Source organism: Homo sapiens, chromosome X (assembly GCF_000001405.40).
Source record: "Homo sapiens chromosome X, GRCh38.p14 Primary Assembly".
Taxonomy (NCBI): Eukaryota; Metazoa; Chordata; class Mammalia; order Primates; family Hominidae; genus Homo; species Homo sapiens.
Genome location: NC_000023.11, coordinates 14,906,944 through 14,933,029, shown reverse-complemented (window position 1 = coordinate 14,933,029; position 26,086 = coordinate 14,906,944). Strand labels below are relative to the sequence as shown.

Sequence of the window (26,086 nt, the reverse complement as noted above, 5' to 3'; positions counted from 1 at the left end):
GCATGAGCCGCCATGCTTGGCCAAGGTATTTCTTTTATATGCGCTCTGGTGCTCTGGAGAGCTTCAGAATGTTGAATAATTGGTTTCTAGAATAAGCTCTGTTTTGTTCATGGGTTTTGAACATGAAACAAATCCACTAATTCTCAATGGAGCATTAAACGTCTGAATTCATTTTGCAAAGCTGAATGTCAAAGTGGCTTTTTAAAGTGAGAATAAACATAAAGCCATTTATTACCAGTGATCACACCAGCAGTTCTAACAACTGGACTCAGCCAATTGGAGGTCAGGGAATACCCTGCATTTTTTTACTGTGCTAGATTAATCCCACACAGGATTAATCCCACCAGTGTGAAAGTGGGTTAATCATTAATGTCTTCAAGATGATGCAGGGGTGTGTTGTGAGTCAATTCGTGTTCTAAGCTGTTTGCCCTATAGAAGATTTGCATTTTTGTGTATTTGATGAATGTTTATTGCATGCCTATCTTCTTTCAGATGCTACATTTACAGGGTGTGTTTTGTTAGACTACGGTAAGCTGTTTTCCACAGAAACTTCTTAGAAATTTGTTTCTCTTGTTCTTCCCCCATCACCAAGAGTCCACCCTCTAAATAGTGTACTTCATTAGCTAGCTCCCCACATGACATATCTATGCAAGTGAGAAGGAAAGAGTTAACAGCTGATCTGCAATCCAGCCTTTCTCACCCAGGGAGGCACACCAGAGAGAAATGACCAGGTCACTTGTCCTTGTGAATTTGCTAATTGGATTTCCTGATGGTATTTGCAAATGGGAGTCCTTATCTATAGAATGCTTTTGTCAAGGTTTGTCTAGGCTTATTTACAGTAAACACACCTAGAATCTGTGAATTTCTGGATCATGGCCAGCTGGAAAATGTCATCTTTAGTGATCATGGTACAAAATGAAGATGTTTCATGACAAAAATAGCTCCTTTTGTGGAAATAGTGTCTCTCCACTTCCCACCTTATGGCACTTAGAGATATCCTATGTTAAATCTGGGCTAGGATCATTTCACCATATAGCTGTGATTCCCTGAGAACAGACAGCACATCTTATCCCTCTTTGTAACAATGTCCAGCACAGTACACAGCACCTAGAAAAGACTCAATAAATATTTAATTCATTTTAAAGAATATACATACATAACATAGCCCGCTTATAAATGGCCGTAAACTACTTGGCTAGCAAAACCCACAAAAGATCATAACAGTTTTAACCACAACTGTTGCAGCCTAGAAAATGTTTAACAGTCAAATAAAATGAGAAGGCATTTAGAAAAAAAAAAAGACTTTTAGGTTAGGTGCAATGGCTCACACCTGTAATCTTAGCACTTTTGGAGGCTGAGGTGGCAGGATTGCTTGAGCCCAGGAGTTCAAGACCAGCCTGGGCAACATGGCAAAACCCTGTCTCTACTAAAAATACAAAAATTAGGTGGGCATGGTGGCGCACACCTGCAGTCCCAGCTACTTGGGAGGCTGAGGTGGGAGGATGGCTTGAGCCTAGAAGGCAGAGGTTGCAGTGAGCCAAGATCACCACACTCCAGCCTGGGAGACAGAGCGAGACAGACCCTGCCTCAAAAAAAGAGAGAGAAAAAAAGACTTTTGAATAAAAGGTGGGAGTCTTTTTGATGAATGTTTTTCAAACTTTAACGTGCATATGAATCACTTGGGAACCTGTGATCTTGTGAACATGTAGATTCTGATTCATCTGGGATGAGTCCTGAGATGTGTCTTTTCCAAAAATTTCTAAAGGCTTGTTACTCAAAGTGTGGTCTAGGCACTTTGGCATCAGCATAACCTAGGTGTTTGTTAGAAATGCAGAATCTACAGCCCTATCCCAGCCCTTCTTAAATCAGACTCTGGCTCCTTTTTCAATGATTCCTTCGAAAACACTCTTGGCAAAGGTCCACGGACTTCTTATTGATCTTTCTCTAAGGTTACCTGGCCCTGCTTAAGAAGTGGTATTTCTTTGATGGCTCTATATCTCCATTATAATTGATTGGCTTTTCCAAGCTTATTGCTAAGGGGACACAAGGCACATTTTTATTCCTACTTTTTCTGAAACCATAGAACTTTGAACTTTCAGTCCCTTTGATTCAAGCGTGTCTGCTTTGGGACTGCCTAGCAAACAGTGTAATACTGTTACACATGCTATTTACTGGAGGTCAGGAAAATACAATATTGGCTAATGAGTCCCATGGGCAAGAAAAGGAACTCAGAAATTTCCTGTATAATCTAGTCAAAGAACATTAGATTCAAGAAGTAGCAGAAAGATGTTCCTGTGGTAAATAAAATGTGTTTGGATGTAGGAAGCTCAGAGTTGCCTTTTTTTTTCTGGACCCTTTAATAAAAATGTATATTGATTTTAAGCCATGAAATGAAAGGGTTAATGGGTACAATTCGCTAAAACTCTGCTACGAATTGAAATTCAAAGATGTAAGTGAAGAAGAAAATACTACTGGAATGAAGGTGAAGAACTCAGCAGAATTTCTGTCTTCAGAGAAACAGCAATATGGAAAAGAAGACTCAAAAAGGAAATGCCATTAACATCCACAGAGAAGCAGGCTGAGATGAAAGAATTACGTGCAGTTAAATCCAAGTCTGACAATACTTACAAAATACCATTAGCTTTAAGCAAGTATTATCTCCATACTTATATTTAGGATCTATAATGAATTCCCCTAAATGCATAGGAACCTCATAATGCCCCTGAGGTCTACTTGGATTTGCCCCTAAGTCAATGAAAGCCAAAGGCAGGTGTGTGTCCTGCAGGTAATAACTGCCTAACTGCCAGGAGCTTGCACCCCAAGCTATGTGTGGGTTGGCTGAAGTCCTGCTGAGCAGCGAGCAGAGAGCAATAATGGCTGGTTGTCATGATGAACTTCCATCCCAGAGAGTCTCAAACACGTTTCACATATTTAACCAATCCACAGAAAGATGACAGACAAAAATTAGTCCATATAGGGATAAGAAGGAAGAGAGAGTCAGATGTGTGCAATCTGGCCCTGACTAAACTATGAATTGCTATAGCGGGAAAAATAGGACATAGAAATGCAAATCCACAGAAAGGTCTTCAGGACTACATGCAGCTTTTAGTTAAAATACACATGCTGTCACATCCAATTAATTTTACAAATGGAATTAAGAAAATGAGAATACAAAGATCTATCCTGGGCTTTAGCAGTAAATCTTCTCTCCTTTATTTACCAGTGTTGTGGAATTTTAACTTTGACCATCACCTTCAGCTCTGTTTTACATTTCTGTTGCAGATTGGGCCTACAGGCACACAGGAACCCTTCAACTCTGTGTTAAAACCCTCAACACAATGTATTCTCAGGATATTTAGTCCCAAAACGTAGTGCTTGAAAAGCGGATTCCATGATTTTATAAATTTGGGAAATACATAATATTCTCAGAGATTTGTCATACACATTAGTACACTAAAGATTCTGAGAAATTCTATGGGGGAAAACTTTAATTTTGTTTAACGCGATGTTTCTCAAAATTACATGGCAAGGGAAACTTTTTGGCCCAGTATAAACTATGGAATTAGTGTTCTAAGGGACCTACTTGAGAAAATGCAGGCCTACAGAGATAGAAAACAGCGCCTGAAAAACTGCTCTAGCATGATATTAATGGGGCATAGTTGTCCCTGCTGTGATGTGAGTAGAGGGTAAGAAAAGCTGGGGGAAGCTCCCTGTTCATTAAACATTTGGGTGAGTCCAAACACTATCCTGCTGTAGTGAGTCCATGACAGAAGAAATGTTTTTGCAAGTCTTGGAGAGACAAGGGCTCTACTGACCTATGATTCCCATTAGAGCTGCAGACCAGCTATTCCAGATTCTTTGAGAACAGCCACTGTCTCTTATACATGCTTTTCCCCCTAGAGCACCAAGTTATATGCTTTGCCTAAAGCTGTGCTTGATGAATGTCAGTTGATTGATGTACATGAGGCAAAAAGCTGGAAATGAAGAAAAGGAAGGCTAGCCTAGAACTGAAAAATAGTCTATTTTTTTATAAGTTCAGGAATATTTTCATCAGATAGGCTCCACCCATGTGGCAAGTACGGTATTGTGCTACGTGTTGGGGACTAGACGGTGAATACTTCATGGAGTTTATAGTCTAATTGGGAATGAGGCATTATAAAAATTGTACACGTTTTTAAATGCAAGCTATAATGAGTGTTATGAAGAAAACATGGTGGCGTCATGGGAGCATCTGATAAGGGGACATGACTACCTACATTCCTGGGATGAGGGATTCATTCTCTGAGCAAATGGTGAGCTGAGAGCAATCCTGAAGCGGTAAAGGTGAAAGGCTGAGATGAAGAATTCCAAGCAGAGAATGGGATTGAACAATGAAGAGGGAGCAAGGGGAATGAGGCCAGAAAGCAGGCAACCGCTCATCATTCAGGACTTTGTAGGACAAGTTAGGAAGTTTAATCATTGTTGAAAAGCCATGAAAGCAACTCGAAGCTTTTAATCAGGGGAGAGATATGACTGGATGTGCAGTTTCAATAGGCCCTGAATATTCCTGAATCAGTATGGAGAAAGGATTGTAGAAGATGCCCAGAGACCACATGAGATTGTTGCAGGAGTCCAAGTGACAGAGCTGTGGATTAAAGTGAGGGTGGCAATGAAGAGGGAGAATTGGCAAGGGGTGGGCTCTGTGGTGTCAAGGATGGAGTTCAGTTTCTAGCTGGTGTAAATGGATGGAGGTCCCCTTATTAGATTCTCCCATGACACCACCATGTTTTCTTCATGAAACTCATTACAGCTTGTATTTAAAAATTCGTACAACTTTTATTAATGCCTCACTCCCCATTAGACTATACACTCCATGAAGTATTCACCATCTAGTCCCCAGAACATAGCATAATACAGTACTTGTCACATGGGTGGAGCCTAGCCTAGCCTACCATCCATTGAGATGAGGATGGAAGACAAGGCTATAGGTTGGTTTTGACATTTTCTGTTGGATACCTGGAAATGCTGAGGTGATACTGGGTATGTGTGTCTAAACTTAAAATGGGAAGTCTGGGTTAGAAATATACAAGGGTTAATGGCTTATTGATGGTAATTGCAGCCATGGGTCTGGAGGAGTTAACCTAAAGGGGAGCGAGGAAAGAGAGTTCAGTTCTGACTTCAACATCTTAAAGACTTGGCGAAGGAAGATGAGCCAGTAAAGGAAACTGAAGAATATCACTGAGAGAAAAAAGCAGGAGTTTGTTGTCTCACAAAACTTGTGGTTGATATAGTCAAATGCTGCTGCAAGAACTCACTTCAGACTCAAGTCGAAGCGGATCCATTGGAAGAAGCAACAACGAGGTCATTGCTGGGCCATAGCAAGTACACTGTACTGTTTTGCCAGAGTGATGGATGTAAACAATAGACTGGAGTGTGACCACAAGGAGAGGGATGCAAGTGGAAATGTCCTGAGGGCCCTTTTTAGAGGTTTGTCTAAGAGGAAGATCAGATTTCAGTTCGGATTTTGGCCCTGACTATGTGAGCGACCTCACTTACATCTTAACTCTTAGAATGAAGAAGGTCTGTTCCACTCCACACATGTAGAATGGTAAATAAAAATGTTTTTCTTTCATTCATTCTCAATTCTCTTGTGCTTCTTAAAGCAGGAGAATCTTGCTGATGGTGATTCTAGTTTTAAAGACACAGTACATATATTTATTAGACTACATGACCCCTCCTCCTGGCAAAATAATAAGTAAACCAAATACTTTACCTGGTGTTAAAAATGAATGTTTAATTCACCAAGATATGAGTTATTATGGCCATTTCTGTTGTGGCACCTTCCTAATGATTTTTTTTTTTTTTTTTGAGACGGAGTTTCACTCTTGTTGTCCAGGCTGGAGTGCAAAGGCGCGATCTTGGCTCACCGCAACCTCTGCCTCCTGGGTTCAAGCATTCTCCTCCTCAGCTTCCCGAGTAGCTGGAAATACAGGCATGCGCCACCATGCCCAGCTAATTTTGTATTTTTAGTAGAGATGGGGTTTCTCCATGTTGGTCAGGCTGGTCTCTAACTCCCTACCTCAGGTGATCCACCCACCTCGGCCTCCCAAAGTGCTGGCATTACAGGCATGAGCCACCGAACCCAGCTGACATCTTCCTAATGATTTTTAAAGAACAGTTCTAACTATACTCAATTCTATCCTAAGCACTGACTTTAGAATATAGCTCCTGTGTAAGATGCACTTCCACCTTTAATGACTAAGTTCTTAAGCAGTTTTAAGAAATCCCAGAGCAGTAAATACAGGATTTGCAAGGAAGCTTTGCTTTTTACGTCAATTTCCTTTCACTTATCCTTTTTAGTAACTTACCAGTTCAGCCACATTTTAAAAAATTAAATTCTTCTGGACTGTGTTATACTATTGTTATTGCTTCTAATAATAGCTTCCTTCCTCTGCACCCCCACTAAAAGGAAGTAGCTGGAGTCACAGAATCTAGAATATTGGAAAAGTACCCAAAACACATTTTTGACATTTAGTTTATGACTGAAAACAGTTATTTGGTATTTGATTCAAGTTGTTCAACCATATTTGCACGGTAGTGGGCGAAGACAGTTCAGGGCAAATTTCATAAGTTCTACTGAACGAATCTGTATGATAGTATTAGAGTGAAAACTTGATGCAAAAAAGATAAATAGGTACTGGATTGAGAAACAGAAATGATTGGCTTCTTGGTTTGTTATAGTCTCAGATTCAGCAATGAAAGGGTCAGGCATAATATTAGGAGTTTTGGAAATTTCTTGCATTCAGAAACTTATTAAGAATACACACATATGTACATGATTTCCAAAATGAACCAAGAAATCAGTGAGATTTTTAAACACATATACATGTATACATAGCTCCAGAACAACCTGAAAATGTGCAGAGGACTTTCTGGTATAATAGAATTCAAGGCACTAGAATTTAATCCAAAGTAAATTGGACAGTATAAATGTTGGATATCATGATGCAGGTTTCTGTAAGAATTGTTTCCTTTTTTTTTTTTTTTTAAATAGTTTTAACCTTCTTATTTACTTACATCCACGGAGCATATTTATGTCTAAGAAAACTAACTCAAATTAACTGAAGCAAATGGATTATTCTGAAAGAAAAGGGAAAGTTAAAAAAGCTAATTGCTTTCACTAGAGCTTCATTTATAAAAGAACACAATTACTGGAAGTACCCTTTGTCCTAGCAAATTAACTCATTGTGAGAATCTTTCTTAAGTGCTTTTTATGATTGAATAAATGTTTAAAATAGTGGTGACATACTTTCCTCTAACAATTTACTTATAAAAGTTTGAATACTTGTGTGAACTGAAGCTGCGAGACTAGAGAAAGCCAACTAAGATAGAGATATGTTGTCTCAACACCCGCCATTTGGTGCCTAATGAAGAAGTTCTAGTCTATTTCCTTTCAGGTGTGGAACATCTGTGAATTCAAAGCTGTCAATCACACTGCTTAAGGTTGAGTTCAGCTTTTCAACCCTCTGTTTCCTGGGGGACTGAATTGGATGAGTTTGCAGGTCCCACCCAACACACTCCAAGCATCTCTCCTTGAGTACGGGGGTGGGGTGTTGCTTGTGAATGTGATGGGGTATCACTCCCATGATTAAGAAGAATTTTGCAGATATAATTAAGGTTCTGAATAAACTACCTTAGAGTTGATCCCAAGGGATATTGTCCTGGGTGGGCTTGACTTAATCAGGTGAGCCCTTAAAAGGAACTCGGCCCTTTCTGAAGGAAGATTGGAGGTAGCAACAGCCATGCTGGAAACTGCCTATAGGGGTGGGAAGCTGCAAAGACCTGGGAGGGGCCTCTAGGAGCTGAGAGTAGTCCCTTTTGCTAGCAAACTGACAATCTCAGTCCTATAGTCACAAGGAAATGAATTGTGCCAACAACTTGAAGGCACTTGAAAGTGCATCTTTACCTAGTGGAGCCTCCAGGGAGGATGCAGTCAGCTGACATCTTGATTTCAGACTACCGAGCCCCTGAGCAGAGAACCCAGCCATGCTGTACCACTGCAACCCACAGAAACTGTGAGATGGTAATACATTTGTGCTGTTTTAAGCTGCTAAGCTTGTGGAAATTTTTTATATGGCAATAGAAAACTAACATATGTGCTCTGATTTTATTAAATACAAGACCTGTTCAGGCTACTAGATGATGGCTCCTGAGACAACTGGTGGCAACACACCCTACTATATGCCCTTCTACAGAGAGATGAATAAACCTCCCTGAAGGTTGATGCTGCACATCAAACCACTCCACAAAGCAAACATATGTTAACCTGTATGTTTAAAACCTTTTTGAAAATATGGTCTGTGATACGGTTTGAATTTGCATCCCCACCCAAATCTCATGCCAAATTGGGGAATGTTGGAGGAGGGGCCTGGTGGGAGGCGACTGGATTGTGGGGGTGGATTTCCCCCTTGCTGTTCTTGTGATAGTGAGTTCTCATGAGATTTGGTTTTTTAAAAGGTGTGTAGCACCTCCCCCTTCTCTGTCTTCCTCCTGCACCAGCCACGTAAGACATGCCTGCTTCTGCTTTGTCTTCTCCCATGATTGTTAAGTTTCCTGAGGCTTCCCCAGCCATGCTTCCTGTGTAGCCTGCAGAACCGTGAGCCAATTAAACCTTTCTTTATAAATTACCCAGTCTTAGGTAGTTCTTTATAGCAGTGTGAGAATGGACTAATGCAGTCTGTCTATAGGTTAGAATACCAAAAAACTTCCAGCCAAGGGTCCTGAGTGGCTATTTTACTTTGTCACCTCTGCTTCTCAAGTATTTTATCTTCATTCTTTTTTCTTCTCATACTGTTGGTGAAGTAAAGTTCTCAGACCTACCTGTTCAGCATTTTAACCTACTACTCAAATGTGGCAGCTCTGGGCAGTTACGACAGCACTGGACTTGAAAGATTAAACTCTTTGTTCTGACACCAACTAGTCATGTTACTTTGGGAAAAAATTACTTCCTGGACCCTTGGTTTCCTTACCTATAAAAGACAAGATGTTATGATGTATTCCACTTATGACCAAAAAATTATTTGGTATCTGACTCAAGCTGCTCAACCATATTTGCGTGTTATGACAAGTATGTTTTGTCTTAAGACTGCTCAAGATAAGCGTGGGAAAACTGCTGGTTTCAAGGACCACTCAAATTTTCCCTCTAGGAAGACTTGAAAATATGCACAAATCTTGTCCCTATGGGTCAGGGAGATATTTCTCTGTATTCTTGTCAGTTAAACCAGTCGTCTTCAAATATTTTAACACGTGGAAGAGATTGGTCTCACTCTTCATGGCAGGCAACATGAGTGGGGAATAAAGAAGGTATGAGACTCTTTGGACATTACAGGGAGATAATTTTTATTCAACATAAGGACAAATTAAGATGCAGCTGTGAAAGAACTGATTTGATAATTTTATTGAGGTGCCAAGAATACAAGAGTGGATAAAAAACAGGAAAAAGTTTAGAGAATTGACAAGGAGGTGGAGGCAATATATTAACAAAGCAAGGCTAGACTCCATGCATGCTTTAAATGCATTATTTTCTCTCATTCTCACACCTAACCTGTGGAGTAGTACTATGATTATCACTTAGGGAAGCAGGCTGAAACTGGCTAACTTTCGCAAGTCACACAGGTAGTCTTACCTCAGAGCCCTCACTCCCAACAACCATTGTTTCAGTTGGAACAGAAGATTTCTAGTGTGTCTCTTTGGGCCAGGGAGAGAGGGGGAGCCCTATGCTTTTGAGGGCCCATATTGTTCTGATGTCAGGAAACCTAGAGTTGATGGTAAACATTTAGGGGAGAAAGAGCTGAAGACTGTTGTAAAGTCATCAATCCTTTCCTACCTAGCTGGAGATTTTCCTGACAGGAGCTCTAGTCTCCTAGAAAATTGTGCCCTTTAGGGACGGAGACCACCCTGTCACATCCCGGGTTGGTATGGTGTTTGTTGGCAGGTTAACATTCTTTGTGGCTCTATTTTGAATTTATCAGAGGGTTGGGACTCTTTAACCACCTGATTTTGTTATCTCCACATATTTTTCAGTGTAGAAGAGGGACCTGTCCCATTCATGCTATTTTTATGGAGAGGTAGCTGCCATTTGGGAGGTTGTATATTTCAGTGGTGACAGACCAGACATCAACAACCCTGAGAACCTCTAACATCACCATCCTGGGCTTCCCTGCTGCCCCTCTGCAACACCCCCCAGGTCCCGGGTCCTGAGCATGTTGTCTGATTTCAGAATGATCAGTGCCACACTGCTATCTTCCCTGTGTGTCTGGCAGTTGGGCAGACTTCTTGTTAGCCTGCCTCCTGCTTGCTGCTGTCAGAGAGAACTATGTGTGGATACTAGGACTGGGGAAACTACGTGGCAATTCTGACTCATTGCAGCTCCAGCAACAGGCTCCACAATGAGCTGTAAGCATGACAGTGGGTCCAATGCTATGTCTGGGGAAAACGAAGAACTACACTGAAGAGCAGCTACACCCGACACGGGGACGAGCAGAAACAGGACACACTAAAGGACAGGCTAACCTGACATTGAATTGTATCTTTGGAGGCCTGCAGCACTGTCCTTATAAAAATGCAAAGCAGATCCAAAAGAAATTACTATGATCTTTAAAAGGTCAGAGTGAGGTTGAATATTGATTTTCTTTAAGATGCTTTATCAATTAGAGACCAGAGGTTTTTTTCCTGATGATATTTATTTCATAAATGTAATTATTTTTCTAAAACATATTAAAATAGAAAACATGTTCTTTTAATCAATCAATTTATACAAAGAAAATACCAATATAGTAATAAAAATACTGAAAATATATGAAAAGCACCAGAACATTAGAGAAATTACACTGGCAACAATTCTAGGAATATATTTTTTTTTGTAGTTGTACAATAAAGTGCTATTAAATCCAGTCAAAATTAGTGGCAATATATAAAAACAGTTATGGTAGTATGAAATTTGAGGCCAGGTTTACCAGCAATCGCATTTTTAGGCTACTTGCAGATCAAGGTAATGATATTTCACTAATGCTTTCATGGAAAATCTATTAATTTCCATTCCTAAGTGAAAACAAATATCTAAATCTAAATGTTGGTTCCTTGGTAATTTGGTCATGAATAGGTAATGACATGATTAAAAATAAAATTACTGATTAGAGTACCAAAAAAATCATGCAATTATGATTAAATAAAAACAAATGAAGACAGAAAAAAATCAAGTGTAAATATATGATTAATCAAGACAAGTACAAACGTTTAGATGCCTTTGATTTTATAGTGAATTTTCAGTAATCCTGCTTAGTCACATTTAATAGACACACAAACATTAACAAGATATGTTATTAAATTCAACTGACCAGACATTGAGCAAGGATATTTTAGTGGGTCAACATAATTTTTCATATGAAACATTAAAGGGACACCGTTAGGACAATACATTTTCAATCTTGGCTAATTATTTCTTCATTTATTTGCCAAGGAACAGAAAACATACACAACTACTTTGGGATTAGATTATATTAAGGCCAAAAATCTACCATGTAAGGGGAAGCCACTGTGCACACACACAGGGAGATACTGTGCACAGTACTTAGGGTGGACTGCAGTCCATTTCACAGCTGGAGGTGGCAAACTGAAACAGAAAAGCCCAAATTAAGACAAAGTAGCACACCAGTGTCCTTTTAAGGTTTTATTTCCTAGGCCAATTTTGAAGGAACTGTTATATCATTCTTCATAACTCAGTTTTGGAATCAACTTCTTGAAGATGAAAACCAACAACACTACCCTTCAGAATAGTAATAAAATCTCCAAACATGGCTCAATCGAAACTCAACATTTTACAGGCAGACAACTGTTTTTTCTTTCATATAAAGTAGATGTACATGTGAACCAACATAGACCCAAACTGGTCATATTAATGAGAAAACAAACTCATGTCATTGCCTCTGCTACTGCAAGGTGTATCTTTTTAGGATTTTAGGAATACCGGGTGGGTACTACCATATCAAAGGCAGAATATCAAGTAAGTCAATTGGTCCTAGTTTGAAGGTTTCACAGATCATCATGAGTTACATTTTTCATTCTTTAAACGGAGAGCTGACACCTGGGCGTCTGTGTTTCTTTTTATTTTTTTTTGTTTTCACCCTTCTAGATACTCTAGTATTTTGTAAATTTCCTTGTCATGGGCTGACTTTTACAGGGAACATTTTAAAATCTAAATTTATTATCCTGCTTAGCATCTCAAACAACTAACCTTTCAAAAAAATTTATATCTAATACCTTTCATTTAGAAATGAGGAGGGAGACAGTGCAATTCATGGTCCACAGAGACTCCTCTGCTCTGGAATGGGGGTGAAGATGGGACAATAGAGGGTCAGGCCTTTATAATAAATTAGGCAAAAGGTTCAGTGTCCAGCTATAGTGGACAACATGAAACTCCATAAAAATGACTGGATAGGGGGACTGCTTGAGACTTTTCTTTTGGGCATTACTAACAGAATTCAAAGAAATTCCAACCACGCTTAGTTTTCCAAATTCTACTGAAATGAGAGTGTTCATAAAAAAGCCTGAGATTAATAAAAGGCAGGCTGTTAAGGAACACTGAGAAACAAAGGTTAAGGTGGTTTGGCATTAAATCGGTTTACATTCCAAAAGAATACTGACCATCACTGGGAGGAATTCTCAAAATTACAAAGTCATGGTTACATAAATTCCTCTATATAAGTATGTTTTCTTTCTCAATATACATGTTCTTCTATATACATAGTATAGAAAAGCTAGTAAGTCAGCTCAGCTATAATAATTCTGTCATAAAAAAGCAGATTACATTTTTTGGCTGCAACAAAGCATGTTACTTATACTTTTCAGTTTAGCTAATGTATTTACACGATAAAACTTAAGCTTTAAAAGTATTCAGATCAAAAGGAAAAAATAAATTATATTTAAACTATTAATTTACACAATGGATATGCCTTTACTTACTTTACTAAATAGCTATAGTCTCTTATAATCAATTTCTCCAGCATTTCTTTATTCTAGCAGTTTATTTTCAAGACATGTATGTGTTCCCCTCCACGTGCTGCATATTTCCTTTTAGGAAGCACAGATGTGCAATGTTTTTAGTAGCTTGGTAGAGTTTTAGGTCTGTTACTTTTTCCAACTAATGGACGAAGGAACCGTGGTTCCTACCCGGCACCACTTCTTTAACTGTACAATAAATAGAAGAAAGAGGTGACAAAAGCAAGCAAGAGCATTGTTAAGGAAAGCAGCAGCTGCTGGAACCAGATACAACGCTGAACTTGGTCTTCAAGCTTCCTATTGCTTTCTAGTAAACGACTGAGCTGAAGAGGGAAGAGGGGATGAAAGATTTATATCAATAAAACAGCCATTAATCATGGGCATGACAAACAGGAATACTAGAAATCCAAACACTGAAAGGATGGGGCCCACTACTCTGTAAGGCTGGTGGAAGGAGGTGGAAGTGCAACAGGGCATTAGATTTGTTTGGTGGACAGATATGTCTATGCTTATTCTCATTTTGAGAGGTCTGAATTTCTAGTTGAGACAGGAGCAGAGCAGTCAGTTCCTAGAGGTACAGAAACCCTTAAGCAGCCTTCAGCTACTCAGAGAGCCCCTCTGTCTCTTTCAAATTTAAATGCACTAATTGGTACTTTTTTCTGCAAGACTGAATTATTTGATACTCCCCAAAGTACCTTGTGCTTTGCTAAAAATGGCCAGAGCTTTCAAATGGTTAGTAGATCTCCAAAAATAACTCACTGCTTACACCATTTCTTTTCTTTTTTTATTGAGAAATGGTCTTGTTCTGTTGCCCAGGCTGGAGTGCAGTGGCATGATCATGGTTCACTGCAGCCTTGACCTCCCAGGGTCAAGCAATCCTCCTGCCTCAGCTGGGACTATAGATGTGTGCCACCACAACTGGCTCATTTTTAATTTTTTTGTACAGACAGGGTCTCGCTATATTGCCCAGACTGGCCTCAAACTCCTGGGCTCAAGTGATCCTCCTGCCTCGGCCTCCCAAAGTGCCGGGATTACAGGCAGCACCACACTTGGCCTGCTTACCATTTCTGATTTGGCATCTCTTCACAAAGAAGACAGTATTTCTATCGTGTCTATGCCAAATGTTTTTCTTTATGTCCGTGAGAAAAAAAGGGATTTCTAATGTTGATCAGCATTAACAACTTTGTTTGGGTAGGAAGAAAGTATACTTACTTGTAGACATATATCTTCACTGGTTTTATCTGACATATTGAAAGCATTGTCTTTTAACGTAAGAGTGTTTGGTTTACTGCTTTCAACAGTATGGCATCTTAACCTATTAAAATCCAAAGAAAACATAACTTCTTAAAAAGTTAATTTTCTTATAAAAGTAAAATATAAAATGAAAACAGTTATACACAGAAGTCTATGTAACAGAGGTAAAAGTCCTCATTCCTCTTCCCCAGGTTCACCTAAGACAGTTGCTCTGTGTATATGTATCTTCCAGCTTCGTTAATTAATGCATGTATAAGGAACACAACATATTGCAGATACCATTCGGTAAAATTCAAATGAAAGTGTTTATATGGTATTCAGTAGAATTCATCCAAATATCTTATGATTTGAAGGAAATCACCCTTTCTAGATAGGAGAAAGGTACTTTCCTTGAGCTTCAGTACCCCACCATCAAGCCTCCCTCCCACTTTCTGCAGGAGAACAGTGATCTCCTCTCACAGTTATAGAAAAGCAAGCCATCAGTAATTGGTAAAGCAAAAAACAAAGAAAACAAAGCAACTCGAACATAACAAAACCAAAAATAACCCTTCATTTTGAGGGACTGTTTCGTAAGAACTTCAAATTAATCTGCAACACCTTTTATACCAGCGTTTCTTACCCTTTCAAAATATTCCCATAACCAGTGTCTTTGAACAAAAGAAAAACTCTTGATAAAAACAGAAAGTAGGCCCTCCTGTAATACAATTTGAAAATTTAAATATTACACGTAAAAACAAGGCAGGCTGCTGACTTCCATCTGCTTCTCCCTCCTCCGGACTAAGGCTAATCTCCCCTGCTTTGGTTCCCCGCACTTTCAGCCTTCTCAGGAATTTCACTGTTCATAATCTATTTTCATGATCTATCAGCTAAGCTTTTGATTTTTTGTAGAAAGAAAGTTTCCCTATGTTGCCAAGGGTGGTCTTGGACTCCTGGGCTCAAGCAGTCCTCCCACCTCAGCCTCGCAAAGTGTTGGGATTACAGGTGTGAGCCACTGCGCCCAGCCCTGAAGGTTTCATTCAACCATAGCCATTATCAGGTTTCCCAGCTTCTCTATAAAGTAGGAAAAATGCCTTTCTCCCTCACAGGGCTGTCTTCATGACTGAATGAATCAATATGTCTAAAGCATCTAGAACAGTGCTGGCATACAGCAAATTCCACTTTAGTGTGAACTTGGTATCACTGCCCACCGTCTAGTTTCTACACAGTACCCAGAAGAATCCTTTAAAAAAATAAGCCCGGATCACCTCATGGCTCTGCTTAGTGCCAACTAATAGTTTTTCCTCTCGCTCAGAAGTCCTCACCATAGGGATGATCTGATATCCTACTATCTCTGTCCCCATCTCTCACCATGCTCCTCCCTTACTGGAGTCAAGAGACAGTGACTTCCTTGTTGTTCCTCCCAAAGGCCAAGCACACTCCTTTTGCATTTGTTGTTCTGTCTGGAAAGGTCTCTGTCCAGTTATCTATGTGGCTTGCTCTCTCATTTCCTTCAGGGCCTACTCTAATGTCATCGGAGTGGCCATCCTTAACTACCCTATAAAGCAGGATTTCTCCACCTCGACACTATGGGCATTTGGGGCCAGATCATTTTTGGGGGATGGGGCTGTCCTGTGTACTGCTAGTGGTTTAGCAGCATCCCTATGCTGCCCCCATTAGATGCCCACTGTACCCCATCCCCCAGTTGTGACAACCAAAAGTGTCTCCAGACATTGACAAATGTCCCCTGGGGGGAAAAATGTGAACACTCCAATAAACCATAATTCCAATTTAAAAAAAGCAAAACTACAATACAGCCCCTTCTATTCTCCTTTTCTACATATCTTTTCAAGAAATTTGTCACAACCTGATATATCTATATACATGCACATACATGTATATATCTATATATGCAAGTTTTTCCCCCTCTTAAATAGAATAATGTCCATAACCAATTTTTCTCACTAGATTTGTTTTCTAAAATATATCACAGATGTCTTTCCATGTCAGAACAAATAGACTTGCTGTACCTTTATGAGTGGTTGCAGCACACTTTAGTGTGGATATACTCAAATGTATCTCACTATTGCTTTACTGGTTACGATTTAGATTCTTTCTTTCCAGTTTTTCACTATTACAAACAATGCTGCAAAAAACATTCTAGTATGTAAGGTAAGCACTCCTACAGGGAGAACTGCTGAGACAATCTGTGTTTGTGATCTGGACAGATCCAGACTCTTGCACTGGCCTGCAAATGAGTTTCTGCTATCAGTGACCTCCTTGAGCAACACCAGGTCTCTTTCATCTGGGCATCCCCAGAGCCTTGCAGGGCACCCAGCAGATGCAAGAAGAAAGGGAGGCCACCTGGTCCATGGAGGCACTTTTCTCTTTCTGATTCTTCCCACTACATTTGAGAAGAATGTGAGGGAAAAGCTTACCTATGTTCCATCACTTTGTTTCTGGGAACTTCTTTCCAAAACTGAGTTAATTCTGCTGGGCCTGTGCCAGATGACTGTTCCATTTCTGCAGCCATTATCAGAAAACGGTCTTGGGCAGAGACTGTTAAACCTGCATTCCAAAAGGGTAATTCAGCATATAAACAGGAACCTTCAAAGCGGTTGGATATGCATGTGGTTTAAAGCATTATTCTGGAACTCAACATTAAGGAAAAAGAAGAAAATGGAAATGTCTTTAAAAAGGAAAAAGTTCTAAAAGTGAGGAAATTTCTCTTTTGAAATTCAATTTCAATTGGTGTCAGTTTAAACAATTTTACTTGTTAGAAACAATACATTTTAATGCTGGAAAGGGCTTTAGAGACCTCTTTGACCACCCCATTTCACATGTGGGAAAAAAGATGTCTACAGCGAGGTGAGGTGACTCGTGATACTCTGCTAATTTCTAGATTCTAGCCTGACATCTCTGCTGACTCAGAGCCAAGGTCCAGGTCCCCTTACCCCCACCACACCCAACACCTGCTGTGGCTACTAAGTGACAACTCACCCCCATGGGGAGACACAACTATATCCACTGATGCACCCGGGTCACAGCTGCTATTGCTTGGCTTGACTCTGTATTTTTCTGGAGCTGTTGTTCTCACCTATTTATAAACACAGTAGTCACATAACAACCTTTATGCTTTTTTGGGGGGAAATGGCTTAAGAATGACTTTAAAAAAATTTATTTTTATTTTTATTTTTATTTTTTTTATTTTTATTATACTTTAAGTTTTAGGGTACATGTGCACAACGTGCAGGTTTGTTACATATGTATACATGTGCCATGTTGGTGTGCTGCACCCATTAACTCGTCATTTAGCATTAGGTATATCTCCCTAAAAAAAAAATTAGCAGTGAATAATCAATGAACAAAGAGTTTACAAAGTAACATTGACGATTATGCATAGAAGGTATTTTTTCCCCACTAACAGGAAAAAAGCATCTCGACCTATCTAAAAACATACTCATATATAAGTCAAATTGTCATTCAGACTCCCTCTTAAATAAAACAATCCATCTGTTAAATATTTATCCTGTTAATTGCCTGAATTTAATGACATAAATTCACAAAAACAGAATGCACATTAGATTGCATGTTATTAATACCATGGTGTTCAGAAATTAAAAAACAGTAGATAATCAAAGCACATCAGGAACATCCTGGTAGTTACATCTAAATTAAATAGAAGATTTAAGGCAGGAAAACCTACAATACGGGGTAGTGACGGACTTAGTCTTGTTACACTTAATGCTCAGTATCAGGTTAATATCCGATATAAACTACACTCCAGAATATACCACACTTGGGGAAAATGCACTATCAATTTTATAGTTTTATGTTTCACTGTTATTATAAATTAAATTATTCACATAGTAAAGAGTAATTTTTCTTGGGTTGTTATTTACAACAAACATTAAACCCTTGTATTAACTTAGACATTAACCTATTACTGCACGTAAAAGATTCAGATACAGACCTCAGGGAAAATTTTTTGATAAAGCTATGCGACTTGGTTAGAACCAGAAGGTAGTACAACATGCCTAAAAATTGTCATAAATAAAAACACTGTACAAGTTCAAAATTTTCAATCTTTCAATTAGAATATGTCTAAAATCACTTCCCATGTCAAATTCTCAAACATAATTTATTGTATCTTTAAGATATTTACCTTAAATGCCACTATATTTTTAGTTACATTTGTCAACACTATTAAGGTTTTCTTCTCTCCGGATTCTGTACTTCCAAAGTACAGTTCTTCTGCTGGGCTAGGGAGTGACAAAAACATAAGACATTTGTAATAATCAGAATAAATGACAATCTAATCATTTAGCTTGAAGAAAAATATTTAGTTAATATCTTATGCTCATTTGTATAAAGACATTTCACCAAAAAAGACTTACAAAACAATTACCTAATACAATTTTGTATTTTAATCTTACTGATTCAATGCACACTATTTAAAAAGTCCTACGGTTTTCCCCAAGATCAAAAGCAAACCAGGAAGAACAGAAGAGAGAGTTATGAAGGCTCTGATTAATCCTATAATCAGCACTATCTTAAGGTGCGCTTATTTAAACTATTTGGAAGGTTATAGATAATAAAGCAAAGAAGATATTGCTGCTTCAACTTTACCTAATTACAAATAATTAGAATGAGGCATATTTCTATACACCAACAGAAAAGAGCATAACTTAAAAAGAAAGATGATTAGGAATGTATTTAACAGAATAATTTCTTACTATATAGCAGCTTTTCTAAGTAATAGGGAAGGAGAAAAGTAAACATAAAAGTAAGTTTGGGATGGGAGCTGTAGGAAGAACTAATCAAATAGTAAAATCAATGAGCTTCAATATTTAAATTTTACTATTACTTTCCATTGTAATGCCTATGACCTAAAAAAAAATTTAAAAGATTCAAGCAGTTTGTGTAGTTTAGTTACATTAGCCAAATTGTATCAGGTGGCTCAAAACAATGGGAAGAATAGTGTTTTTGTTTTATATAAAAAGGTGAATAATTTAACTAAAGTGAATTTTCAGCAAGCCGTTGATTTTGAGATACATCTTTAAATAGGTTAATTTTATATCAGGAATGTCTGTACCTTGGGAGTGTTTTTTAATCTAACTAACACATGTTTTTAAGAATGAGCTCTCCCAGAAGGGCTTTGCCTAGTTTTGGATAAGGTGGTAAATTTGCATGGTTGCTGGCTTTCTTCTAGAGCCTAATCTTAAGTAAGTCATAGAAAACCACAAGGTTATGGATCTCATTGTTCTTAGTAACCAGCACAACAACTGTGAGCAGCTCCAGGAAGACAGAGGTTGGTTAGGTCCTTGTGTCTGTGTAGGAGCAGCTCTGGGACTTCACCGGGGGCGGAGGAAGGGAGGAGCAGAGCCCAATGTGCAGGTGAAAAGCTGTCTGGCTTTCTCCCTAGCCTGCTTTTCCTGTCATACCTCTACAATTACAGGCAAGGACCTATGATGTAACAGGTTTACAGTGAAAACAGAATGTGTAACTTCCAAATAAGTAGGGAGAAAAATGGGAACAAGTAAACAAACAAAAAAGATAAACTCCAAAGGGGGAAAATGGGAAAGAAAAACCATGAAAAACAGAAAATGCATGCGCATCTATGTCTCTCTTGCTTGCTGTCTTTCATACATATAGATGGCGGAGATAAATCCAAATATAACAGTAATCAAAATATATGTAAACAAGCTAATACTATCAATTAGAGAATGTCAGATTAGATTTTTTAAAAGTCTGGCTATATTGTTCATAAGAGATATACATAAAACATAGCTATACAGAAAGGTTTCAAGTAAAGGGACAGAAAATGCTACATGAGATCATAAAGTTGGTGTAGCAATGTAACGTAAGGCAAAATATATTTACCAACCAAAAACATCATCAGTGAGAAAAAGGTCTTTATACAATGCTGAAAGAAACAACCTGGAATCTTTTGAATCAAATAACCTAGCAGAAAAATAGAGATGTCCTGAAGTTTGGCTTTAGTCACAAACCTATTTTTCCAGTTCATCTTTGGCTTCTGGAAAGTAAAATCAACAAATCCTTACTTTAGTGTCATTTCTGGCATTCCCAAACTTGGGCAAGTCTAATAGTATCAGTAATGTGAGGAAAATACATGCCATTCAGATTTATTAATATATAAATATTTAGTTTTATTATCTGATGTGTGATGAGAACCCTTTAAAGACACTCAACATAATAGAAGAAAGCAAGGTAGCTAAACATATGCACTACGTCTGGAAACCAAGGTAAGTCTTCAGATAACTCTTGGTTTTATATTTCTACAGTTTCAAAAACCAAATAGAAGTTTTCTTAATTTTGTGGCTCCCTCAAGGTGATCAAGATATGTTATAAAATTATAGCTAATAAAATCTTTGACGATTACCTGATGTGTAGTAAGGGGCCTTTAAATACACTCAATGGTTTCTTGAAAGCTTTCACTTTTGAATCAACTTTTTCATTTTCTTCTGCTTTGGAAGTAGATTCGGTTGGGTTAATCTAAAGACAAAAAAAAAGGATAACTATTTAGCATATATTAACATGACCATTAACATCTATTTTAGTGCCTACTATTATACATAACATAGGTTACTCTAGAAAATACAATATGGTCCTTCCCTTAAGAGTCTTTAAATTTTTCTAAATTATAACATTGTATTTATCCATCTATCAAGTTCCTGATTACTTGTAAAAAGTGACAACTACTAAGTGCTCTTTTAAAAATTAGAGAAAGGAACTAAATCAAAGTTTTAAATTAATTACTTTTAGACAAATAAAAAAATTTTAGATAAAACAATTACTTCTAGATGTGTTTTGCTAGTCTTTATACAAAAGCATGGAATCAGCCTTTATTTTATTTTGAGACAAAGTCTCACTCTGTCACCCAGGTCAGAGTGCAGTGGCACAATCATGGCTCAGTACAGCCTCGACCTCCTGGGCTCAAGCGATCTTCCCAACTCAGCCTCCAGAGTAGCTGGGATGACAGGTGTGCACCATCACATCTGGCTAATTTTTTATTTTTTGTAGAGACAGGGCCTCCCTATGTTGCTCGGGATGGTCTCAAACTCCGGTGCTCAAGCGATCCTTCCACCTCAGCCTCAGAAAGTGCTAGGATTACAGGTATAAGACACAGGCCCTGGCCTGGAATCAGACTTAAATACACTAAAGTGGTGCTTCTGGTCAGCTAATCCCATCCTTCCTCTTTCTTTTTACACACAAAAATGTGGAAGGGTAGCAGGTTAAGTGAATTACCCAAAATCACACAGCTGGCTAGTGTCAGAATTGGGGATAGACCACATCTTGTGATTCAGTTTCATTTTATTTATAAAGTTACCTTTTTAAGAAGAGGTGTTTGTTCTTCATTAGAAATTGTTTCCAATGTTTCTTTGCCATCACTTTCTATGTCTTCTTTACTTGAAGTTTCATCCTCACTGGTAATAGGCCCATTCTCACACAGTGGGGTCTGGAAGTCATCATCTACTAGTGGTGGATAGCTATACTTGAAAGGATCCTACAAGAAAATAATTTCACATGAGCCTACTAAATGGTGGGTAGAGAAATAACTCTCTTAGTAGATTTACAATTCATTACTTTGGCCAAGAAAACAGACTTAATTAGATCATGAAATTTAAAATAAAGGAAGCATTTCAAACCAGAAAGAAAAAGAGCAATAAGTGGTGTGGGACAATTGGCTAGCCATCTATACAGAATCACCTTAGATCTTTAGCTCGCTCTCTACACCAAAAAGAATTTCAGATGGATAAAAGCTTTAAATGTATATGTTGTTTGTGTGTGTGTGTGTGTGTGTGTGTGTGTATTTTTAAAGAACTATATAAGTTCTGTAACAATACAGAAGAGGGATACAGAATACACTGAAAAAGAATGAAAATTGTCTTTTGAATCATAAGAAAGTTTTCAACATCACCTATAATTAAAGAAATGCAAATTAAAATGACAGTGAAATATTTTTTACCTGAGACTGGCAATGACTACAAAAATGAGAATATGCGATGCTGGCAAGGAGGTGGTTCAAGAATTCTCACACATTATTGGTAAATGGGCACAATCTCTTTAGAGGAAATTTGGCAACAGCTATCTAAATTAAAAACTATACTCACAGATTTTTTTCTAGGAGTTTATTCTGTATGCATTCTCGCTGCACACATATATTAAGAATTATTACAAGGATATTCACTGCAGCAAAACTAGTAATGGCAAAAAATTAGAATACAACTATCAGTGCAGCCCTTTAAAAGAAGAGTGATTAAATCAATTATGTTATACCCGTCCATACAGTGGAATATTTTGGTTTAAAAATGAGATAGACCTCTGTGAATCAATATGGTGTAACCTGCAAAATAAAAGATGTGAAAAAAGTACAAATGGACAATATATATGGTATGTGACCATTGTGTAAAAAACTGTAATAGATAACTCCAGAGGGATAGAAAACTTGATGGTGACTGCCTTTAGGGAGTGGCAGTGGGCATGGACCTGGGAAGGCAGATGTAGTTTTCATGGTACTGTTATACTTTTCAATCTCTGGTATTGTATTTACTTTATTAAAAAATCATGTATATGTATTATTTTTTGAAAAAAAATACTTAAAAATTAATGTTAAAAAATAGTAGTCCTACTATAATTTTGACTGTAATTCTGAAGAAACATATCACTAAGGACAGAGAGGGGAAATAAAATAACCGTTTCTATACATAAAATTAACATTATTTAAAATGTTATGAATTATATTAATTATAATTATTTAAGATATAACAATTTTATGAGCAAATTATTAAAAATAAATAAAATCACATTTTAAATCAAGCATAGCACCTGAAATGAAGTATATTTGGTTTTTCTAGGTGAAAATGTGAAATATAAAGCCTTAGAATAAGAAAGAAGCAGACTTCAAATTAAAAATATTTGTTCAGGTCTTTTCTAATCAAAGACAATAAACAGAAGGACATATCGAAACTATTCCTCTTGCTAGTTCTGATTGAATACAATTTTGCCAGGCAGGCAGTATAAAAAATAGATTGCAAAAAAATCAAATAAGTGAAACATTATGAAGTTAACCCAAAGCGTACCAAGTCCATAAGTTGTACAGTTTTTTTATAAGTAGTAAAAATCAGCTCAAAAAAATCTGGATAGTATATGCTTAATAGTATCTTTTTAACTAAAAAGACTGTTGAACAGCAAACAATTGGAAGCACACTAAAGACACATCAAGAGGAAATTCACTAACTTATGTCTAGATAGTAGAATACTATGCAGCCATAAATGAGTATGAGAGCCTGCTACATATTGATTTGGAATAAGACGTACTGTGAAGAGAAAAGCAGGATGCACACTAGCACATAAATACACTGACTTTAGAAGAGATGAGAGGGAGGAAAAATTATATACTATACTTGTTTATATGGGTAATACATATCCCTGCAAATTAATACAAGAAATTCAGCTGGGGAGGGAATATGGTGGTTGGAAACAGAAGTAGGAGGTGATATTTTTACTGAAGACTTATTTCTCATTATTCTTCTGAATACTCTTCAGTTTAGAACCACATAAATATATTACCTATTAAAAAATAAAAAATTAACTTTAAAACTTTAAAAATGTGTGTAACACTACTTGCTATTTTGGGGGTATCTGTGATATTTCTTTGCATATTATGGTACTACTTTTCTTTTTCCCTTGAGGAAAGTATACAGCCTAATGTGCCATTATCCAGTATTGTTTTATAAACAAGTTTCAAATACTTACAGTTCCACCCATGTGGGGAGGCAGGTATTCTACACTGACATAGTCCTGGACTTCATTTTTGCTTGTAAACTTCAACAAGCTCACTGCTTCTGGACCAAGCCAGGTTTTCACAATTTTGAAAGCAGCTGAAGAAAAACCAGTCACTTCATTAAAATTCTCATCATTCCTAGTCTCAATTAATTTACCATAAATGCTAACCCAGGTCTTCTGAAATCAGTTTGGGCTATAATCTGTTAATATTTATCTTTACGTGATGTACTTAATTAACATTCTCTAATTTCTGTAGGCGTTTACATTGTGGCTCTCCCTTATGGGTTTCAAATGTTCCATGAAGATTCAGGAAGATTAAATTACCCTGATGTTCATTAATAAACTTATCAGGGTTTTGGCCTCTGAACAAATCCATCAATGATCCCAACTATTTAGATTTCCAGACACTGAATCAAACAGCAATATGATTCAGGAAATAACTGCACAATAGTATGGAAAGAGTCATTTACCTTATGGTTCTGATAAACTCTCTATCTGAAAAACCTTCTCAAACAGCGAGTCAGAAAAGAAAGAAAGAAATAGCCCTTCTTATTATGAGTGTGAGCTGGATCCAGCCTTCCTTTCTAACCCTACACTTCTCTGCCTCTCTCCCAGGCCTTGCAGTTTATATAATTGTGGGAAACTTACGAAATCTCAAAAATAAACTGGTTTTTAAATTTTTTTTGAGACAGAGTCTCACTCTGTCACCCAGGCTGGAGTGCAGTGGCACGAACTGCCCTGTTCTGTTATCAAACACAGCTGTTTGGTAATTACAATCTTGTTCTGTCATGTCATTTCTTATTTATGCTTAATTTTTAAACCTCATTTTCACTGTGACAATCTAAGTACATTTTTAAGAAATTAAAAGAGAAATACTGCATTAAATTTGCAAAACTGTCAATTAAAAAAACAGAAACTAAGAACAGTATGATAAACATTAAATGGTTCGGAGAAGTATCTTTTTATTTTAGCTAACTATAAGTTTTTTACATAACATTTAAATTTTCATTAATTTCAATTTAAAATGTGAGTTGACATGTTTGAAACTATGCTACTTTAATCTGATAAATCTGATTTTTCATAACTTTATTGAGATATAATTTACATGCCATAAAATCCCCCCTTTATACAAGTCAATGGTTGTTAGTATATTCACAGAATTGTGCAACCACCATCACCACCACCACAATCTAATCTAGAACATTTTCATCACACCAAAAAGAACCTTCATATAGCAATCTCTCTTTAGGCCTCCTTCTCCAAGTCCTTAGCAACTACTAATCTATTTTCTGTCTTCATGGATTTGCTTATTTTGGACATTTTATATAAATGAAACCATACAACATGGCTTTTTCTACTGGCTTTGTTCACTTGGCACATTTTCAAGTTTCATTCATAATGTAGCATGTATCAGTACTTAATTCCCTTTTATGACTGAATAATTGTCCATTTTATAGATATGCAATATTTGCTTTTCCATTCAGCAACTGATGAATATTTAGGCTGTTTCCACTTTTTGTTATTATGAATAATGCTGCCATGAACATTTGTGTACAAGTTTTTCTGTAGACATACGTTGTCACTTCTCTTGGGCATATACTAAGGAGTGGAATTTTGGGTCATATGGTAATTCTATGTTTAGCTACCGAACTGTTTTCTGATGTGGCCAGACCATCTTAACATTCTCACCAGCAGTGTATGAGGCTTCCAATGTCTCCATATCCTTGCCAATACCTGTTATTATGTCTTTTTTATTCTAGCCACCCTAGTAGGTGTGAAATCACACCTCACTTGGTTTTGACTTGCATTTCTCTAATGACTACTGATGCTCAGCATCTCTTTATGTGCTTATTGCCCATTTGTTTATCTTCTTTAGAAAAACATCTATTCAAATATTTCACTCGTTTAATTGGGTTACTTGTTTTTTTTTGAGACAGAGTTTCACTCTTGTTGCCCAGGTTGGAGAGCAATGGCGCAATCTTGGCTCACTGCAACCTCTGCCTCCTGGGTT

At 37.5% G+C, this 26,086-nt stretch overlaps 1 protein-coding gene across 3 annotated transcripts in view; it reads right to left on the bottom strand.

Moving 5' to 3' along the window:
* Window positions 10,703-26,086, bottom strand: part of MOSPD2 (motile sperm domain containing 2) — a 48,907-nt gene continuing 33,523 nt past the window's right edge. For 2 of the 3 annotated variants that reach the window (NM_152581.4, NM_001177475.2), the window contains 8 exons: window positions 24,046-24,170; window positions 21,617-21,793; window positions 20,669-20,781; window positions 18,431-18,527; window positions 17,266-17,362; window positions 16,704-16,833; window positions 14,248-14,350; window positions 10,703-13,358 (listed from right to left, as the gene is read on the bottom strand). In NM_152581.4, coding sequence (NP_689794.1) covers window positions 13,221-13,358; window positions 14,248-14,350; window positions 16,704-16,833; window positions 17,266-17,362; window positions 18,431-18,527; window positions 20,669-20,781; window positions 21,617-21,793; window positions 24,046-24,170 — 980 coding nt within the window. In that variant the 3' untranslated portion in view covers window positions 10,703-13,220. The remainder of the gene's footprint in view (window positions 13,359-14,247; window positions 14,351-16,703; window positions 16,834-17,265; window positions 17,363-18,430; window positions 18,528-20,668; window positions 20,782-21,616; window positions 21,794-24,045; window positions 24,171-26,086) is intronic. The other variant, NM_001330241.2, reaches the window with a different exon arrangement.